Source organism: Homo sapiens, chromosome 10, assembly GCF_000001405.40.
Source record: "Homo sapiens chromosome 10, GRCh38.p14 Primary Assembly".
NCBI lineage: Eukaryota > Metazoa > Chordata > Mammalia > Primates > Hominidae > Homo > Homo sapiens.
In genome coordinates, this window is record NC_000010.11 from 38,636,292 (window position 1) to 38,657,863 (window position 21,572).

General features: G+C 36.3%; 2 pseudogenes; one reads left to right on the top strand and one right to left on the bottom strand.

Moving 5' to 3' along the window:
* PABPC1P12 (poly(A) binding protein cytoplasmic 1 pseudogene 12) lies at positions 281-1,991 on the top strand (annotated as a pseudogene).
* Positions 4,491-21,572, bottom strand: part of SLC9B1P3 (solute carrier family 9 member B1 pseudogene 3) — a 48,295-nt pseudogene continuing 31,213 nt past the window's right edge.

Genomic DNA, 21,572 nt, shown 5'->3' on the forward strand with positions numbered 1-21,572 from the left:
CTCTTAGCAAAGAGAGAAAGAGTCCTGCTAGCGGGTTTCCCGCCTCATAGATTAAATCCTAGGTCACTACATGGGAAAAGGCCAGACTCCTCTCCACTGCACACTGCACAAACTTCCCGAGGCTCCACCCCGTAATCCCAGTGCGCAGGTGGGCATTATTCAGAATCAGTGAGGAAAGGGCGGCTTCAACCAGGACCTGCAGTCCAGTTTATCAGCCTTCAGGCTGTTTTTGTCTTGAAGGTAAGGTTTTACCAGGGGACCCTTGGCTGCCTCCTGTCTTCATCACTTTCACATTAGGTGCTTTGTGGTGAAAACGGTTTCAAGGGTGATGGCACTGTACATTTTGAGACACAGAAGCAGCTGAAAGATCTATTCAAAAATGAAATGGATGCTTCTAAATGATAGCAAAGTCTTTGTTGGATTAAGTCTTGTAAACAATGAGAAGCAGAACTCAGAGTTAAAAAGTTCACCAATGTTTACAGGAAGATTTTTGGAGAAGACATGGATGGTAGGTGCCTTAAAGATCTCTTTGGCAAGTTGGGATCTGTCTTAAGTGTGATAGTAGTGGTTAATGAAAGTGGAAAACCCAAAGGTTTTGGATTTGTCAGCTTTGAAAGGCATAAAGATGCGCAGATGAGATGAACAGAAAGAAGCTCAATGGAAAACAAATTGATGTTGGTCAAGCTCAGAAAGAAGGAGAATTGCAGATGGAACTTGTGTGCAAATTTGAAAAGATCAAGCAGTATAGGATCACCAGATAACAAAGTGTTAACATTTATGCAAAAAATCTTGATAGTATTGATGAATGTCTCTGGAAAGAACTTTCTCCACTTGGTACAATCACCAATGCAAAGGTTATGAAGGATGGTTGTCACAACAAAGGGTTTGATTTGTGTATGTTTCTCCTCTCCAGAGGAAGCAACTAAAACACTTTCAGAAATGAATGGTAGAATTGTGGGCACTGAGCCATTGTATATAGTGTTAACTCCATGGGAAGAAAAGCAATGAAGAGCACCAGGCTCAGCTCATTAACCAGTACACTATGTGCAAAGAATGGCAAGTGTAAAAACTATGCTCAACCTGGGAATCAGTCCCTATCAGCCAGCACCTTCTTCAATTGACTTCATGGCAGTTATCCCACAGACTGAGAGCCATGCTGCAAAGTATTCTCCTAGCCAAACTGCTCAACTAAGTTCAAATCCTCCCTAAATTGCTCAGGGTGCCAGACCTCATCCATTGAAAAATATGCCCAAGCCACTCCTAGCTCACTACATTTAGTAGTAAGAGACCAGCTTCTTCACAGCTTCCACGAGTCATGTCAACACAGCTGTTGTAACACATCGACACAGACAATAGGAGCACATCCTGCAGTTGCCGCTACTGCTACTACAGATACTCCTGCTGTTTGTACCATTTCACAGTATAAATATGCTATGGAAGCTCACAATCCTCAATGATATTTTCATGCACAGCCCCAGGTTACCATGCAGCAGCCTGCTGTTCATGTAGAAGGTCAAGAACCTTTGACTTCCATGATGGCATCTTCTCCTCCTCAAAAGCAAAAGGAAACGAGTGAATGGCTGTTTCCTCTTCTTCAAGCCACGCCCTAGTCGTGCTGGTAAAATCATTGGCATGTTGGTGGAGATTGGTAATTTAGAACTCCTTCATATGCTTGAATCTCCAGATCCTCTCTATACTAAGGTTGACAAAGGTATAGCTGTACTACAAGAGCACCAAGCTAAAGAGGCTGCCCAGAAAGCAGTTAATGGTGCCACTGGTGTTCCAATTGTTTAAAACTGATCAGGGACCACAGAAAGAAACTTGAGCATCACTGAAGAAAAATATCTCAATATCGAAAACCTTAAATATTATGGAAAAAAATTGTAAAGTATAAAATAAATTTAAAAAGGAAACTTTGAACTTTACATACCAAGCAAATGTCAGATCTAACAAATGCAATGATAGTCTTAGATTACTTATTGATTTGAAAAGAAAAATTCCTCCCAAAATAATAAAATATAAAAACACTGTAATGCTTTTCAGACTCTGTGATAAATAATTTTCAGAAAAGTATAAAAATTTAAAACATTCCTTTAATTTTGTAATTCATTAGTGTGGAATAGCTAAGAATGTCACTTCTGTTTTAAGTAACAGAATTGATAACTGAGCAAGGAAAGGTAATTTGGATTATAAAATTTTGCTTTAATAAAAATTCCTTAAACAGTGAAAAAAAATAGGCAAAGATACAAAAAAAAGTTTATAAGAAACAACAATCTTGTATTTGTTTGTTATTTTATTTTATTTTATTTTATTTAATTTTTTGAGATGGAGTCTCGCTCTGTCACCCAGGCTGGAGTGCAGTGGCGTGATCTTGGCTCACTGCAACCTCTGCCTCCCAGGTTCAAGTGATTCTCCTGCCTCAGCCTCCTGAGTAGCCGGGACTACAGGCACCTGCCACCATGCCTGGCTAGTTTTTTGTATTTTTAGTAAAGACAGGGTTTCACCATGTTAGCCAGGATGCTCTCCTTCTCCTGACCTCCTGATCCACCCGCCTTATCCTCCCAAAGTGCTGGGATGGTGTGAGCCACTGTGCCCAGCCTTATTTGTTTAAATACTATAAACACTAATATCATACACATGGTTAACTGGTTGTAATTTTTAAATTATATTAATAAATTTTTATGAAAACATTTTATAAATAAACTTAAAATTTCAAATAAATAACAACATCTGCCACACTACCTTAAAATGGCGACTATTTCAGTATAATAAACGTATATCACATACACTTAGAGAAAGTTCAATAAATAAAGAATAAAAAGAATAGGTACAACAATTTTCCTCCTAATCAAAAGCACAATTCCTCATTTTGAAAATTATTTCTTATCTCTCTTTTATTAAAATAAACTTTCTACTTTGAAATCTAATCCTCTTGTGAATGTAAAATACTATCTTGTAAATATATATATATATACATATATTTTATTATTATTTTTTTTTGAGACAGAGTCTTGCTCTGTCTCCCAGGCTGGAGTGCAGTGGTGCGATCTCAGCTCACTGCAACCTCTGCCTCCTGGGTTCAAGCGATTCTCCTGCCTCAGCCTTCTAAGTAGCTGGGATTACAGGTGCGTGCTACCACACCTGACAAATTTTTGTATTTTTAGTAGAGACGGGGTTTCACTATGTTGGTCAGGTTGGTCTCGAACTCCTGACCTCGTGATCTGCCCGCATTGGCCTCCCAAAGTGCTGGGATTACAGGCATGAGCCACAACAGCCTGCCCATATTTTTATTTTTTTATAAGTGACAATGAGATGTCCTCATGATTTAAATAGTAGTCAAAACACTGGCACAGTTTAAATTTTTAGAATTTGAGTACTAGAATTACAATATTTGAAAATGGAGTCTGTACTTTGTTGTAAAACTATAAAGAGAAAATGTCACTAAAACAGTAGCTATTTTATCTTTTCCCAGAGTTATTCTCCCAGAGTGTATTTTCTAAGAGTTATTTCCCAGACGGTTTTAGAACTTTTGGCAGTTTCGGTGATATATTCTATAAAAGCCCTTAGTCTTAATAGGAATAACACATAGTTTTGATTGCCTTAAATTTTAATTGCTTCACTTGGCAAATTTATGTGTAAATTTCATATTCTGTGGTATTTTAATATCTTGCTTGTGGAGAAGAGGAAAAAGAGGAATGAAAGTAATATTCAGTCCTTGCATTGAGCTTTTCCCAAAGAAGTCCAAACAATTTCTAAAATGCCTTTCAATAAGGCCATTTTAGAAGTGTTTATATGACTCTTATAACTTTAAAATAAAGAGTCTTGAAGTTAATTAAAACTCACTTTGCTTATGATGGGTTCTACATTAACATGGCAGATTTAATCAGCCAGAATTAAAAGGTAATTCTGTATTACTAAGGAGAAGAAACTGCCACATGACAGTAGTCTCCAAATCTTTCATTTTTGGAGGCTGCCTTTTATGCCTAGATTTTAAAACACTAATTGAAAAAAATATAGTTTACTTCCATTTGTGATTTAATTTTATTTCTATAAATAAATATATAGATAGTGTTTCATCTAAAAACTGCTAAACCAGACTTTCATTTTAAGGGCATGGCAGAAATAAGGAAAGACTAACTTGGTTCTATTACTTAACATATTATTTATTCAGGTAGTCACCAAAACCAGAATTTAAAATCTATTCAGTTAACCCATTTAAAGTTGATGTGTTTTACTCCTTTTTTTGGTAGTGATCTTTTTAACTGAATTACTGGACATCATGGGGAGTTCTACTCCTCCTATTTGGAAACTTAGGCTATCTTACCAAGTTCAATATTCAAAGTTTTTCTTTCTGCCATTAAGTTTGTTTAATTTTATATTAAGCTCAGTTTGTATTATGATATCAAATTCAGCCTGAGGGATTACTTAAACTTTCCTAAGGTATTTACAGATTTAATTTGTTCTTACAGTATGTAAATACCAAGAGAGCATTCCATTTAATATTATTTTTATTAAATTAACTTTGGAGTAAAAAGTCCAAGAAAAGCCCTGTACTGAAATCACATGTTTACTAAATCCTGGATTTTCTGTACAGTCCCTACATATTTCTACTTTAAAATTCTTCTGTCATGTGAAATAATTCATTAAAAGAAGCAGGCAGATGATGACAGGTAAACTTTTTAATGATGTTCTAATGTTGACAATTGCAGTTTTATTTTGCTTGGATCATAATGGCGTGTAAGCATTTTAGGCCCCAGAATGCCCATAAGTAGAGCTCCATTTGGAGCTGTGATCGAGATGGCTAAAAATGCTACTGACATCACATCCTTCGCATATGGTTCCAAGTGGGGTGCAGAGACTCTTGCTGTTTCTAGAGCCAGAGGACCTAACACAGCCTACATTTAGGGGTAAAAATGGGGGATAAAGAAAAATATTAAACTGAGTTAATATATAATGTAAATGGCTCTGTTAAAATAAACAAGATCTAGTACTAGACTATTAGAAAAAAAAAGTACTCAGTAATTATCATAAGTTACTCATCAGTTCCATGTTCTTCCTAGCAAATATATGTGGAGGAAGAGTACAATAGTGACAAATCAACATGCAAACATTTTTGGGCTGATTTTGCACTCTTGTCCTCTCAGTGTTCCTCTATTCAAATATCTCTTTTGAGTGTTGCCCTCATAACACCAGGAGTTCTAACGAAACCAGTTTTGCTTAGTTGCCTTTATCGTGTACCAGTAGTTTTTGACTACAAGAAGACAAAATAAAATATTAAGTTTTCTTATGGTTCTCTAGGATTTGTTGCCCTTCTTCTCATTGTTCTCCTTATTCAGGGGGCACTGGGTTATAGCAGAACTGACAGCAGGCTTGGAATCTAGCAAACTGGGTTTGAATTCTATTTTTGCTGCAACCAGGCTAGTGACCTTGTACAAATGACTCACACTCTCTAAACTTCTACTTACTTACGTGTAAAACGAAGAACAAAATACTTATCTTACTGGACGGTTGTGAAAATTAAATATGAGAATGTGAAGAATACCTGGCACAGATTAGGTATTCAGATAGTAGTAAGTTTCTTTCTCCTTCACTCCTCATCCCCTGCCAGGTCAGAGAATGAGTTCCTTGAAGTTTTTGTTTTAGAATGACTACTGGGTCACAAGATTTTTCCCTAGTTACCTTCTACCACATTATTTTTAATAACATAAAGCAAATTTCTTGTAAGTCTCTTTCCTTGTGTTTAATAACAAGGCATGAAATTGCCTTAAAATTTGGGGGAATTAAATACCAATATATAACATATTTTCTATGGAGTTGCAAAGTAACAACATAATGGTAGAAACATTACCTCTGATATGGAACATTATGGCAAAAGAACCCCTCAATTTAAGATCAATTTCTACATCCTAAATCAATAATTTAAAATGGTATTATTTTTATATCATAACTTTTAATGTACTGAACATGATCCATTGTGCTGGAGGATGCTAGGGAGAAAAAAAAATCATGCAGGAAACCACCTTGAAAGAATCTCACAGTTTAGAAGAGGATTTGAACATAAAAGAACTGCCAACAGAAAAAACAAAAACAAAAACCAAACCCACTGACTTTTAAGAGATGATGACGATAATGGTGAAACTAGAAATAATATTTTTATAGTTTTATGGCATTCATCATATGTCAGGTATCATTCTTAAAGCTTTCCATTTATCAATTCATTTAATCCTTATGACAACCTTATTATGTGAGGACTTTTATTAGATGATAAATGATTTCCTCCTAGTGACTGAGATTTAATACTCTTTCTTTAAAAACATCCAATTGCCAAGCTGATCTCACATTTGTAAACTAAATTATTTATTTACTCTCCTAATAGCTTCTATTTTTCCAGTCTAACTTTTATCAGTAACTCGAAACTAAAGAACAAGAGAAAGCTGAACCTTAGCCAATTTTATTTTAGCAGCAGAGAATGGCGGAAGAGGATAAAGGTGAAAATAATTTAAAATTGAAATTTAAATATTTGTTGATCGTATTTACTTGTGACATTATTGTTATCTATTATTGTTGTTGTGACTCTACTTGTATAAATAATTAATTTTTTATGTCTTGCCAGTTCCTGGGACCGGCTTGATATTCTTTGTGTAGAAGCCAGCCTGGAGCCAGCAGACAGGAATAGGCAGAAGCAGAATAATACTGCAGGACTAGAGTGAGTGGTCTCTTTCCTCATACCTGCTTTTCTTTTTTCCCTGCTTTATGAAAATTATGAAATAATGAAATAAAATTGCAAGAGTATTGTTGGAAGGAGAGAGAACAGATACTCCTTTTGTAGATTTATTATTCCCTACAGTAGACATTAAAAATAAAAAGTTATTATTTATATTACTTGAAGGTAAGATAAAATAACAACATTGTTTGTTAACTGAGCACCACCATATGCCAGAGAGAGTGCTAAGCACTTTACGTGGATTATCTCATTGAATCCTGACAACACTGCTAAGAAACAGATACATTCATAGACTTCATTGCAAGATGAGAACACTGAAGGACTGAGAGACTAGAAAATAATTTTCCTGAGGTTATAGGCAAGTAACATGGTATTCAAAACAGGTAGTCTGGCCCTATGAGCCTGCTTTTCTAACAACTAAGAAAGAGCCACAGGAAATTAAGGTATATTATGCTGCCAAGTTAAACAGTCTAACAAGAAGTAGCAATATATTTTAGTAGGAGGAGAATCTCCTTGAATAACAGGGCAAAATTACAAGGTTTCCCTTTCTGTTCATTCATCCTTGCAGGCATGCAATACGTATTTGTCTCCTGCATGTCAGGCACTGTGTTAAGTGCCAGGGAGAAATAATGAAAAACAACTGCAACAACTAGACACTGTCCCTGTCCTTACGTAGTTTATCAAGGGGGCAGGGGCAGGGATTTAGCCATTAACCAAATAGTATACAAATAAATGTGTAATTAAAAAAATATATGCACATTTGTGTGATGGAGTGAGTGGCAAGGTAGGAAAAGTATTTTTTAAAAAATCAATGTGTCTCTATTCTACTTTACTTTTTTTTGTGACAGGGTCTCACTTTGTCACCCAAGCTGCAGTGAAGTGGCATGACCTCAGCTCACTGCAGCCCCAAACTCCCGAGTTCAAGCAATCCTCCTGCCTCAGCCCCCAAGTAGCTGTGACTACAGGTGTGTGCCACCACACCTGACTAATTTTTTTGTATTTTTTGTAGAGACAGGGGTTTTACCATGTTTCCCAGGCTGCTCTTGAACTCCTGAGGTCAAGTGATCTGCCTGCCTCAGCCTCCTGAAGTGCTAGGATTACAGGCATGAGCCTCCATGCCTGGCCTTTGTCTCTACTTTTTAAAATCATAACATTTAGCTTTGTTATATTAAGCAAAATATAAAAACTCCAATTTTCAGATATATTCTTATTATATATTTTAGGAAAAAAACATATTTTCATAAACTTAGAAAGTACTTATTGAAAGAATACTTTTTGATTTCAAAATAATTGCTTTTAAAACTGAGATTTCAAAAGGTTACGTTGGCTGTGCCCAGTGGGTTATGCCTGTAATCCCAGAACTTTAGGAGGCTAAGGCAGGAAGATCACTTGAACCTAGGAGTTCAAGATCAGCCTGGGCAACATAGCAAGACCTCCTCTTTACAAAAAAATCAGAAAGAAAAGGCCAGGCACAGTGGCTCATGCCTGTAATCCCAGCACTTTGGGAGGCTGAGGCAGGCAGATCACTTGAGGTCAGGAGTTTGAGACTAGCCTGGCCAACATGGTGAGACCCCATATCTCCTAAAAATACAAAAATTAGCTAGGTGTGGTGGTGTGCACCTGTAATCCCAGCTACTGAGGAGGCTGAGGCAGGAGAATCGCTTGAACCTGGGAGGTGGAGGTTACATTGAGCTGAGATCATGCCACTGCACTCCAGCCTGGGCAACAGAGTAAGACTGTCTCAAAAAAAAAAAAAAAAAAAAAAACTGAAAAAAAGCAGTTGGGTGTGGTGGCAGGTGACTGTGATCCTAGCTACTCAGGTTTATGTGAGAGGATTGTTTCAGCCCAGGTGGTTAAGGCTGCAGTGAGCCGTGATCATGCCACTGCACTCCAGTTTGGGTGACAGAGTGAGACCTGGTCTCAAAATGAAAATAAAAATGAAAATAGAAAAATGTTACATTGTTTCTTTGTTTGTTTTTATTTATTTATTTATTTTTTTTTTGAGATTGAGTCTTGCTCTGTCACCCAGACTGGAGTACAGTGGTGCCATCCCAGCTTACTGCAACCTCCACCTCCTAGGTTCAAGCAATTCTCCCATCTCAGCCTCCTGAGTAGCTGGGACTGGTTACGTTAATTTTAATGAATAGTTATGATCAATCAAACATTTAAAAAGTAAGGATAATAGCTCATATTTTGTGATTGGAGTAACATTTTTCATTTTAAATTTTAAAAGCATCAAAACGAAAGCATTAAGCAATAGGCTTAATATGTTCTTACCTGTACTGTAGCTTTGGGCATCCATGCTAAAGCAATAAATATTTTCTCCTTAAAACTAAAACCAGCAAAGCACATCAATAGATATGTGGTTAAAATTCGAACACATAATGCCAAACTCAGAGTGGCAACAGATATGCTTACAGCAGATGAAAACATAAATAACAAAATATTTGTGAAGAAGTGTTCTTTATGCCCAGGAATATGATTTTTAAAACTTTTGAAAGCATTTTAAGGCTACTGTCTCTTCATGTGTTTAATTTTTACATAAAACAATCATAATAAAAAATGAATATGATGGAGGATTCTCTGTAAAGTGCAAGACAGTATCTGATGGTGGAGATACCATGAAAAATAAGACACATGACATTTATACAATTCTGAACTAATAGACTTTTTTTGAATACTTTTATTATTATTAATAATAGTTTACTTTTTGAGAAGGATTCTTGCTCTGTCGCCCAGGCTGGAGTGCAGTGGTACAATCTCAGCTCACTGCAACTTCCGACTCCCGGGTTCACGTGATTCTCCTGCCTCAGCCTCCTGAGTAGCTGGGGTTACAGGCACGCACTACCACACCTGGCTAATTTTTGTATTTCTAGGAGAGATGGGTTTCCCCATGTTAGCCAGGCAGGTCTTGAACTCCTAACTTCAAGAAATCTGCCCGCTTCGGCCTCCCAAAGTGCTAAAATTACAGGCATGAGCCACAACACCCAGCCAATAGTTTTAATGAAAGTACTCAAACAGTGCTGATCGTATCAAATACGTTCCCTCAGGAAAGAAATCTTATATTTATTTCCTTAGATAACTCAGGGAAGATATTCAGGGCTGTCCTTGGTTTAAAAAAAAAGAGCACACAGTGTAAAGGAAGAGCAATATGAAAATATGACACTGTATCAACATGTGTTTCTGAAGAAGGTCCTTGTAGCCATTCAAAGATATATTGTAAATAAAAATAAATGTATTTATAATTTTCTTAAATATTTTTGAATTTCATATTTTTTGTGCTCTAATTATTCTTACCAACAATATTTGATTCAAGCGATGAAACAGATACTTCTGCTCCAACTAAACCAAAAAGAAGTGGTTGAAAAATATCCCATACATTTGTAATAATCTTTTGGACTTTCATCTATAGAAAAGAGAAATACATTTATAATTATTTTGGCACATAAATATATTTCAGAAAGTTAAAGTCTCCCTCACCTTTTTTTTTCACTTTTTAAGTATTTTAGAGATGGGGTCTTGCTCTGTTGCCCAGGCTGGGGTGTAGTGGCATAATCTTAGCTCACTGTAGCCTTGAACTCCTGGGCTCAAGTGATCCTCTCGCAGTCTCCCAAGTAGAACGACAGGTGTGTACCACCATGGTGGGCTAATTTTTAAATTGTTTATAGAGATGGGGTCTCGCTATATTGCCCAGGATGGTCTAGAACTCCTGTCTTCAAGTGGTCTCTGGCTGTGGCCTCCCAAAGCACTGGCATTATAGACATGAGCCACCATGCCTGGCCTAAAGTCACTTAACATTTAATAAATTTAAGACACTTTATTTTAATAAAAATATTAAACTTAATAAAAACTGAGCACTTCAATAGTTTTACTCAAACACTTAGGTAGAATTTGATTAAAAGAAACTCACAAAGCAATAAAATAATACTATTTGGCCATTTTGTCACAGAATAAGTGATGTCTTTAGGGTTCTAGCCATGTTTCATATGAGTTCCAGATTTTGTCTCTAAGTTAACTGAATAGAGATAGAACTACATCATGCCTGATGAGAACATACCCAGTTCATGCAAACATTTGGGTTCTCAGAAGGGGGTTGGGAAGCCTTCCACTAACAACCATCCTGGAACTCAATGCCATTAAAGTGAATCCTGATATATATAGCATATACTACTAGGAAAAACAATTTGGAAGTCTGCTAGGCCTGCTTCCAAAGAACCCATGTTGAATACTTTAAAGTTACTTTTTCCTTAAAACAAAACCAAAACATATATTAGATTCTCATTTAGCTGCCTACCCAGCTTCCCCTTCTGGAAACGAATGCCTCCCAGTGCTACTTCCCCAATTAAAAGGTTACAGGAAAGGCCCCTATTGGCCTACATTACTCTGGCTCTTCTCCAGGAATTTGGATGAAGAGATTTCAGTCTCAGTCTGGGTTTAATTTTTTTCTTTAAACAGAAGATACATAAGTACTTTGATGTCTCTTCCTTGAGGCAAAAACTATCTTCACAACTATTTCCCTTATGACTGTGTTTTCTGATCCCCACTTTTTATAGTTTAAAAAAAGAAAAACAAAGAAAAAAGATGTTACCACTCTTTACAGCATAATTATCCTGTTCGTTACTTTAAATCTTTAAAACTTGTTTTGGTTCTGTTTCTTTTACCATTTAAAAAAATTCTAGCAGTTTCAATTTTATTTATTGATTTGCATTTCATTCATTTCATTTCTTTTATAATTATGATTATACAAGAATACTAAGCAAAATGCCACTATGATTTTTGATTAGGGAACTTCTCAAGTTGATTCTAAAATTTATCTAAGGAAGAATATGTGTAGGAGCAGCCAAAAAATACTTTAAAAAGAAGTATAATCTATATTAGATTTTGACACATAAAACTGCAGTGATTTAAAACAGAGGTGTTGGCATAGAAATAGAGAAGTAGGATTAAACAGACCACAATTAATATATATGGGAGAATTTAGTTCATGTTAAAAAACTGAATTATTAATGAATTGGTCAATAAATAAACAATTTGGCAAAAAATGACTGTCTAGTTTATGTGCATATATCTGTATGTACATATTCATCACATGCAATTATATATGTGTGTCTGAATATATATATATGTGTGTGTGTATATATATATACATATATATATATACACACACACATCAGCCATGATGTAGTTCTATCTCTGTTCAGTTAACTTACAAACTGTATATGTGTGTGTGTATATATACATAGTTTGTAAGATACACATATATATATATATATAACCTTACCTCACAGCATTCACAAAGATAAATTCCAGATAGATTAAAAGCCTAAATGAAAAAACAAATTAAACAAAAACTACCAAAATATTAAATGATAATACACAAAATAGTATATCTTTGTAATGTTTATATGTTATAATCTTCAGTGAGAAAGTCCTTCTTAAATGAGATGCAGAATCCAAAACCAAAAAAGGAAAACCCAATAGGTTTGGTCATAGGAAATTTTACTTTCATACACCAGACACCGTAAACAAAGTTGAAGATAAGCAAAAATTATATGCAATATATACATAACAAAGGATCAGTAGCCCTAACACTAAGAGAAACTATAAATTAGAAACAAGAAATAAATAACCCAATAAAAATGGTCAAAGAAGATCATAGGTATTTTAAAAAGAATATATGAAGAGAAGCTTACTATACTACTAATCGGAGAAATGTAAATAAAGAATAACAACATCACATAATTGTAAGAAACTATAAGAATTGGATGATGAGGTCATTTAATAGTAAAAAGAATAGAACTAGTGATAATATCAAGTGCTGTTGATGAGTTAAGGTATTAGATATTTTTGTGCACTGTTGGCAGAGTGTAAATAACCAAAATTTTTGAAGGGATAATTTAGCAGTGTCCATCAAAATAAAACACAGATCATTTCCAGCGAGGTGTGGTAGCTCATGCTTGTAATCCTAGCACTTTGCAATGTCAATTTGGGAGCATCCCTTGAGCTCAGGATTTTGAGACCAGCCTGGGCAACATAGACAGAGACTCTGTCTCAAAAAAAAAATCATTTCTAGAACTCTATTCCTACAGATGTACCTGTAATCCCAAAACTTTGGGAGGCCGAGGCAGGAGTATCACCTGAGGTCAGGAGTTCAAGACCTGCCTGGCCAAAATGGTGAAACCCCGTCTCTACTAAAAATACAAAAATTTGCTGGGCATGGTGGTGCGTGCCTGTAATCCCAGCTACTAGGGAGGCTGAAATAGAAAAATCACTTGAATCCAGGAGGTGGAGGTTGCAGTGAGCCAAGATTATGCTACTGAACTCCAGCCTGGGTGACAAGAGTGAAACTGTGTCTCAAAAAAAAAAAAAAAAAAAGACATGAACAACACTGTTTATGACAGCACTGTTTGTAAATAACAAAAAGTGGAAACTATCTTAATGTCTATAAATAGGACACTGGTTACTTAAAAAAATGTAAGGCGGTTAGATATTTGACAGTGGTGGGGAATAAAGAAATCTTTTACATTTTTTCTATGTTTTATTATTTTACAAGCATTTCTCTTTTTATTATTTATTTGTTTGTTTATTATTATTTTTTGTGTGTGTGATGGAGTTTTGCACTTGTTGCCCAGGCTGGAGTGCAATGGCATGATCTCGGCTCACTGCAGCCTCCACCTCCTGGGTTCAAGCAATTCTCCTGCCTCAGCCTCCTCAGTAGCTGGAATTACAGGTGCCCACCACCAAGCCACCATGCCCAGCTAATTTTTGTATTTTTAGTAGAGATGGGGTTTCACCATGTTGGCCACGCTGGTCTCAAACTCCTGACCCCAGGTGATCTGTCCACCTCAACCTCCCAAATTTCTGGGATTACAGGCATGAGCCACCGTGCCTGGCCTTTTACAAACATTCTTCATGGATTAATTGCATAATTAAAATTTCAATGAATAAAATAATTAAATTGATATAAGTAATATAATAATATTATATAAAACTTGGGAAAAAGAGAAGCCTGATGTGATTAACTCAACTTCTGATTCCATATTAGTATATTTCCAGCTGCTTTTATTAAATATTTTATTTCCTCGATTGATTCGTACTCTTTCTTGAGGATAGAAAACCTTTTGGAATATTTTCCAACCAGAATGAGGGGATTTCCTAAATATATGTAAAAAATTCGGTTGTCTTAGCTTTTAAAATATAGCATATTAAAAATATTCACCTTTTCTTGGGACCATTTTGTCCCTGCAATGAAACTCAACACTAATGTGCATAATCCTCCAGATCCATGTAAACCAATACGTTGGCTGCCTAAGACAGCAGAAACACACGTAGTCAAAACAAGGAATCCTCTCTTCAATGTAAGTTTTTTCTAGAATTAGATAGATATTTAGAAATTAGTTTATATTAAATATATAATACAAGATTTGACATTATCTATTACATATGTTTGACCCTTTGATATTATGTCTTTAAATGTTATATTAAATGTCTAAAATTTTGATTTTCTTTCTCACCATACATTTTAGCAGACTTACTACCAAGTAACAAAATTTCCAATTAGTAACGTTTCTTCTTCTGCCACATCTCTGATACTAGTATCAGTAAAATAGTTAAAGTATTACTTTAAGTGAAGAAGAAAAGAGACCCATAAAATCTCCAGTTTCATATAACATGTCCAATGAATTCTTAAAAAATATTTGAATATCTCTTTGGTCAATATGTTACAGCTAAATTTGGATGGAAATTACAGAAATACAAAAGTAATGGCATGTTTTCCTTTAAGGCAGGAAATGGCTAAGTTTGAGTGTTGCCTTTGTCAAAGGATAGCAGGAGTGAATTTCAGTCAGAAAATATGCAGAAATGAATGGGAACCTATCTCCCCCTAAAATGTTTAAGGGAAAATTTGGGGAAAATTATCAAACATCAATAGGCAATTTAGTAGAGAAAGGGAAAGTATAATTCAGAGGGATACTCTGCATTAAGTATAGTTTTTGACATTCCTTATTTGCAAAATCAGGAAGCAGAGACTTTAATCAAAGCCATTGACCTGTATCAATCACCGCTGTGCTCAGTTTTAAATACAGAGTAGGCATTGGAGGCTAGTTTTAGAAAAATAGAGTTAAGTATTAAATTTCATGGATCTTACCAAAGTTTAATATTTTGAAAAAAATGTCTAATACTATACTTCTATAAAATAGATTTTGTATTTAACTGGTCTTCACTTGGAAAATATCAAACAAAAAATCCCAAAACAATTCCTGCCAGCCGACTAATACATACGTTCCTTATAGAGGCTATGGCGTTATTAAGCTTACCACCTGTAGGGGCACACAATAAAGAAAAATTCACAAAGAAATATTTTCACATACACTACACATCAGAAAAGCAAATCTAGGTGGCTCATGAAGAAAAGTAAGCATTTTATAGAACAAATATATGCAAATGGTCTTTTTATAGTGACATGTATGAAAACACGTAGATCTATTTAGTACATTAAATATATACTCTCAAATAATTTAATATATACACACAACTCAGAAATGTCCATTATATAAATAGGCCAGAAAACAAAGACTTAACAAGCACAAGATGCTCCCCTTACATAGCCAATTTAAAAGACAGAGTGGGGTAGTCCAGGCGCAGTGGCTCATGTCTGTAATCCCAGCACTTTGGGAGGTTGAGGAGGGTGGATTACTTGAGGTCAGGAGTTCAAGACCAGCATGGCCAACATAATGAAGCCCCATCCCTAATAAAAATACAAAAATTTTGTGGGCATGGTGGCACACAACTGTAGTCCCAGGTACTCAGGAGGCTGAGGGAGGAGAATCACTTGAACCTGGGAGGCAGAGGTTGCAGTGAGCTGAGATCATGCCACCACACTCCAGCCTGGGTGAAAGATGGAGGCTACACCTCCAAAAGAAAAAAAAAGACCAAGTGAGGTACAAGAATGGAGAGAGACCAAAACACTTGTGGCACTTAGCATATGGCTGGTAAGGGCTATATTAACAATTCTTCTTTGATGTACTATATGAAAAAGAAACAAATGATTTTAACATGAAAAGAACAATGTAATAACAACATAAAAAATTTTGTTCCAGGGTCAGTCCCAGAAACATTCAAGGGTCATTTAAGATTTCAGTGTATTTAAGTTTCTGCTTTTGGTGAAGAAAAAAGGAAAAAAAAATACAAAAGATTCCAGTATATTTTATATTAATTAATATTAATATATCCATACTTGTAGTTCATTGTAATAAGTAAAAAGCAAAAAATAAAAAAAAACAGAATGAGTCACAAAAATAGTTCAGTTAAGCTCTGGGTAGTGGATTCAATATAGTACATAAGTATATTTTTAGATATATTTTCTACTAAATATAACAGGCAGCGCATGGTGGGCTCACACCTTTAATCCTAGCACTTTGGGAGGCCAAGGCAGAAGGATTGCTTGAGCCCAAGATTTGAGAGTAACTTGGGCAACAGAGTGAAACCCCATCTTCACAAGAAAATAAGAAATTAGCCGGGTATGTGTTGTGTACCTATAGTCCAAGTACTCAGTAGCCTGAGAGAGGAGGTCCCTTGAGCTCAGGAGTTCCAGGCTGCACTCTAGCCTGGCTGACAGAGCAAGATCCTGTCTCAAGGAAATAAAATATAATAAAAATAAAAAATAATATAAACAGAGTGATGTCAGCCAGATGGTGGAATGGCTCCAAACCTTGATTCTCCATAAAGATAGCAACTGAAAAACAATATATGGTCTAAAAGCCTTTATGGAGTTCCATAAACCATTAAGAAGTTGTAGTAGCACAGACAAGTGCAAAATCAAGAATAGTGGCATTGAACAAATAAGAAAAGCTGTTGCATTATACTCATGATACCCCTTCCCCAAGCTCGAACAGGTTGGTTTGGCTGGGAAGCACTCAACTTGCAGCTTCTCCGTTAGCAGGGAAAGAGAAGACTGGAACGGAATAGTTTTATGAGGTTACCTGAAGCTCTCTCTCTCTCTCTAACTTGACGCCCAACTGGCATACTTTGGATGCATGGGAACCACTGGGAATAAAGGAGAGGTCAGAGATGATGCAGCACCAGGGAACCTGCAGTACCACAGACAGATACCAGAGGGAACAACAGCTCCAGAAAAAGAAACTGGCAAACCTCTACTTGGGATGTTGCAATGTATAAACCCAAAGAAGATGCATTCCCAGAAAAAGTTTGAGAGGCTGCTGGAACCTATAGCCATGCTGATTCAGGTATGAAGGTCTTCCGTATGAAGCCAGCTGATAAAAACTGGGAGAAGTGGCAGTTTTTTCAAACACCCAAATCTTGGCAAAAATAAATAAAAAATAAAAAATAACAAGACATAAGAAGAAACAGAGAAACCTGATGACTAAATTAAAGGAGCAAAATAAATCTCCAGAAACCAACCCTAAAGAAATAGATAAATGAGTTACCTGACAAAGAATCCAAATTAACTCTCTTAATGAAGCCCAGTGACAACAGAAATAGACAACTAAGTGAAAGCAGGAAATAATTCATGAATAAAATGAATATATTAATGGAGATAGAAACTAAAAAAAAAAGGAACCATACAGAAACTCTGGAGCTAAGGAATACAGTAGCTCAATTGAAAAATTCCCTATCGGAAATCACCAATAGACTGTGTAACTGCCCAATGGGTTCACCTCGTGCCCTGCTTAGACAGAGCTGATTTATCAAGATAGGGGAATTGCAATGGAGAAAGAGTAATTCAGGCAGAGCTGGCTGTGCGGGAGATCAGAGTTTTATTATTACTCAAATCAGTCTCCCTGAGCATTCGGGGTTCAGAACTTTTAAAGATAATTTGGCATGTAGGGACTTGGGAAGTGGGGACTGCTTATTCATCAGGTTGGAGATGAAATCATACAGGGTTGAAGAGATGTTTTCTTGCTGTCTTCTGTTTGTGGCTGGGGTGGCAGAACTAGTTGAGCCATATTACCAGTCTGGGTGGTGTCAGCTGATTCATCCAGTGCAGGGTCTGCAAAATATCTCAAGCACTGATTTTAGGTTTTACAATAGTGATGTTATCCCCAGGAGCAATTTGGAGAGGTTCAGACTCTTGGAGCCAGAGGCTGCATAACCCCTCAACTGTAATTTCTGATGTTATAGCTAATTTGTTTATCCTGCAAAGGCAGACTGGTTCCAGGCAAGAAGGGGATCTTTTTGGGAAATGGCTATTATCAACTTTGTTTCAGAGTCAAACCATGAACTGAATACCTTCCCGAAATTAGTTCATCCTACTGCCGGGAATGAACAAGGACAGTTTAAATGCTAGAAGCAAGATGGAGTTGATTAAGTCTGATGTCTTTTGCTGTCATAATTTCTTCAGTTATAATTTTTGCAAAGGCAGTTTCAATAACATCAAGCAGAAGAAAGAATCAGTGAAACGGAAGACTAGTCATTTGAAATTATGGAGTCAGAGGAGCAAAAGGGAAAAGGAGTGAAGAGTGAAGACAGCCTAAGAGACTTACAGGATGCCATCAAGCAGACCAATGTATGCATTATGAAAGTGCCAGAAGGAGAAGAGAAAAATAAAGGGGCAGAGAGCCAGTTAAAAAAATAATAACCAAAAACTTCTCAAACTTAAAGAAGGAAATGGACATACAAATCCAAGAGGCTCAAAGAACTCCAAGTTGGATAATTTGCAAAAGACCTACAATGAGACACATTACAATCAAACTGTCAAAAGTTAAAGACAAAGAGAGAATTTTGAAAGGAACAGGATCAAAGCAACTTGTCACATACAAGGGAGATGCTATATGGTTATCAATGGAATTATCAGCAAAAACTCTACAGGTCAGAAGAGAATGGGATGATATATTAAAAGGGCTGAAAGAAAAAAAAAACTGTCAACCAAGAACTGTATAGCCAGTAAAACTCTACTTCAAAAATGAAGGACAAACAAAGAGTTCCCCAGAGAAGTAAAAGGTGAGGGAGTTGATCACCACTAGACCTACCTTACAAAAAATGTTAAAGGGAGTCCTCCAAGTGGAAATGAAAAGGCATTGGATAGAAATACAAAAGCATACAAAATATAAACTTCTTTGGTAAAGGTAAATATATGAGTGAACATAGAATCCTTTAATACTCTAATGGTGGTAAGCAAAACACTTTTTGTCCTTTACTTTTTTTTTTTTTTTTGAGACGAAGTCTTGCTCTGTTGCCCAGGCTGGAGTGCAGTGGTTTGATCATGGCTCACTGCAGCCTTGCAGTCCTGGGCTAAAGCAATCCTCCCACCTCAGCCTCCCGAGTGGCTGGGACTACAGACATGCACCACCACACTCAGATAATATTTTTAAATTTTTAGCAGAGATAAGGCCTTGCTGGTCTCAAACTCCTAGGCTCAAGTGATCCTCCCATTTTGGCCTCTCAAAGTGCTGGGACTACAGGTGTGAGACACCACACCCAGCCTGTAATTCACTTTTAATTGAAGCTTAGAATTTAAAAGGTAAAAGCATAATATTACTGTATTAAATTATGTGAATAAACAATATAAGATATATATTGTGTGACATTGATAACAAGTGAGAAGGAGGTGTAAAGAAGTAGAGTTTTTGTATGTGATTAAAGTTAAGTTGTTGTCAATTTAAAATAGATTATTATAACTATAAGATGTTTTCATGTAATTCTACAGTAACCACAAAGAAAAGACCTACAGAAGATACAAAAATAAAAATGAGAAAGGAACCAAAGCACGTCCCTACCAAAAAAAGAAATCAGTGAAACATAAAGGGAGGCAGAAAGAGAGGAAAAGTGGAAAAAATACCTGGAAGACATGTATAAAACAATGAACAAAATGACAATAGTAAGCCCCTCCCTATCAGTAACTACTTTAAATGCAAATAGGCTAATTTTCCAATCAAAAGACAGAGAATTGGCTGAATGGATTAAAAAATCTAAATATATACTATATGCAAGAGACTTATGTTAGATCTAAACACACACAAAGGTTGAAAGTGAAAGGATGGAAAAAGATATTCAATGCATTTGGTAACCAAAAGAGAACAAGGATGGCCATACTTAGACAAAATAGAGTTTAAGTCAAATAATAGCACAAGAGACAAGGATATTACATAATAATAAAAGGGCCAATTGACCAAGAAGATATAGCAAATATAAATGTATGTGCAACTAACAGTACAGCATCTAAATATATGAAGCTAACATAGACAGAATTGAGGGGTAACATAGATAACAACATCATAATAACAGAAAACTTCAATATTCCACTTTCAATTATGGATACAATAACCAGACAGAAGATCAACTGGAAAACACAGAACTTGAACAACATTGTAGACCAATTGGACCTGTCTGACATATACAGAACACTTCACCCAATAATAGCAAAATATACTTTCTTCTCAAGTACATATCAAGACGTTTCCAGGATAGATGGCATGCTGGTCCACAAGCAAGTTTTTAAAACTTTAAGAAAACTGAACTCATACCAAATATCTTTTCTGACCACATTAAATGAAATTACAAATTCATAGCAGAAGGAAAAAGGAAAAGTAATAAATATGTGGAAATTACAAAAATATACTCTCTTAACCAATTGGCCTGTGTGGTTAATATTAATTGTCAGTTTGATTGAGGGATGCTTAGATGCCTGATGAAGCACTGTGTGTGTGTATATCTGTGAGGGTGCGGCCACAGGAGAATGATGGATGAGTTACTGGACTGAGAGAGAAAAACCCATCCTCACTGTGGGTAGGCATCATGCAATTGGTTACAAGTGTGACTAGAACAAAAAGGCAGAAGAATGGGAACATTCAGCTTGCTTGGATTTCTTTTTTATGCACTTTCTCTCTCTTCCAGAGCAGTATGCCTTTTTCTCCTCTTGCCCTTGCACATCAAACTCTAGGTTCTTTGGCCTTTGGACCCTGGGACTTGCATCAGCAGCCTTTTGGGAGCTCTCAAGCCTTGGGCCTCAGACTAGTGGCTGCACTGTCAGCTTCCCTGGTTTTGAGACTTTCAGATTTGGACTGAGCCATGTCACTGGCTTCCTTGGGAGCCATGCTGTAGGCTTCTCTCATTTTCCAGCTTATAGATGGCCTACTGTGGGACTTTGCCTTTGTAATTATGTGGGCCAATTCTCCTTAATAAATTATATTTCATATATATGTAAATATATTCTCTTTTAGATGCATGTATATGTATCTATATCTATATCTATTATCTATATCTATATCTATATCTATATTTCCTATTGGATCTGACCCTCTGGAGAACTCTGATTAATACATAGTCAAAGAATAAGTCACAAGGAAAGTTAGAAAATGTCTTGAGACAAATAAAAATGGAAACACAACATTCCAAAGCTTGTGGGATGCAGCAAAATGAATATGAAGAGGACAGTTTATATATCTAACTACCTACCTTAAAAAAGAAGAAAGATCTAAAATCAGTAACTTAGCTTTACACCTCAAGAAACTGGAAAAAGAAGAACTCAACCCAATGTTAGCAAAAGTAAGGAAATAATAAAGTCTAGAGCAGAAGGCCGGGAGCAGTGGCTCACGACTGTAATCCCAGCACTTTGGGAGGCCAAGGCAAGTGGATCACCTGAGGTCGGGAGTTCGAGACCAGCCTCAGCAACAGGGAGAAACGTGTCTCTACTGAAAAATACAAAATTAGCCAGGCATGGTGGTGCATGCCTGTAATCCCAGCTACTCTGGAGGCTGAGGCAGGAGAGTCACTTGAACTGGGAAGCGGAGGTTGCAGCTAGCGGAGATCACGCCATTGCACTACAGCCTGGGCAATAAGAGCAAAACTCCATCTCAAAAAAAAAAAAAAAAAAAAAAAGGCTAGAGAATAG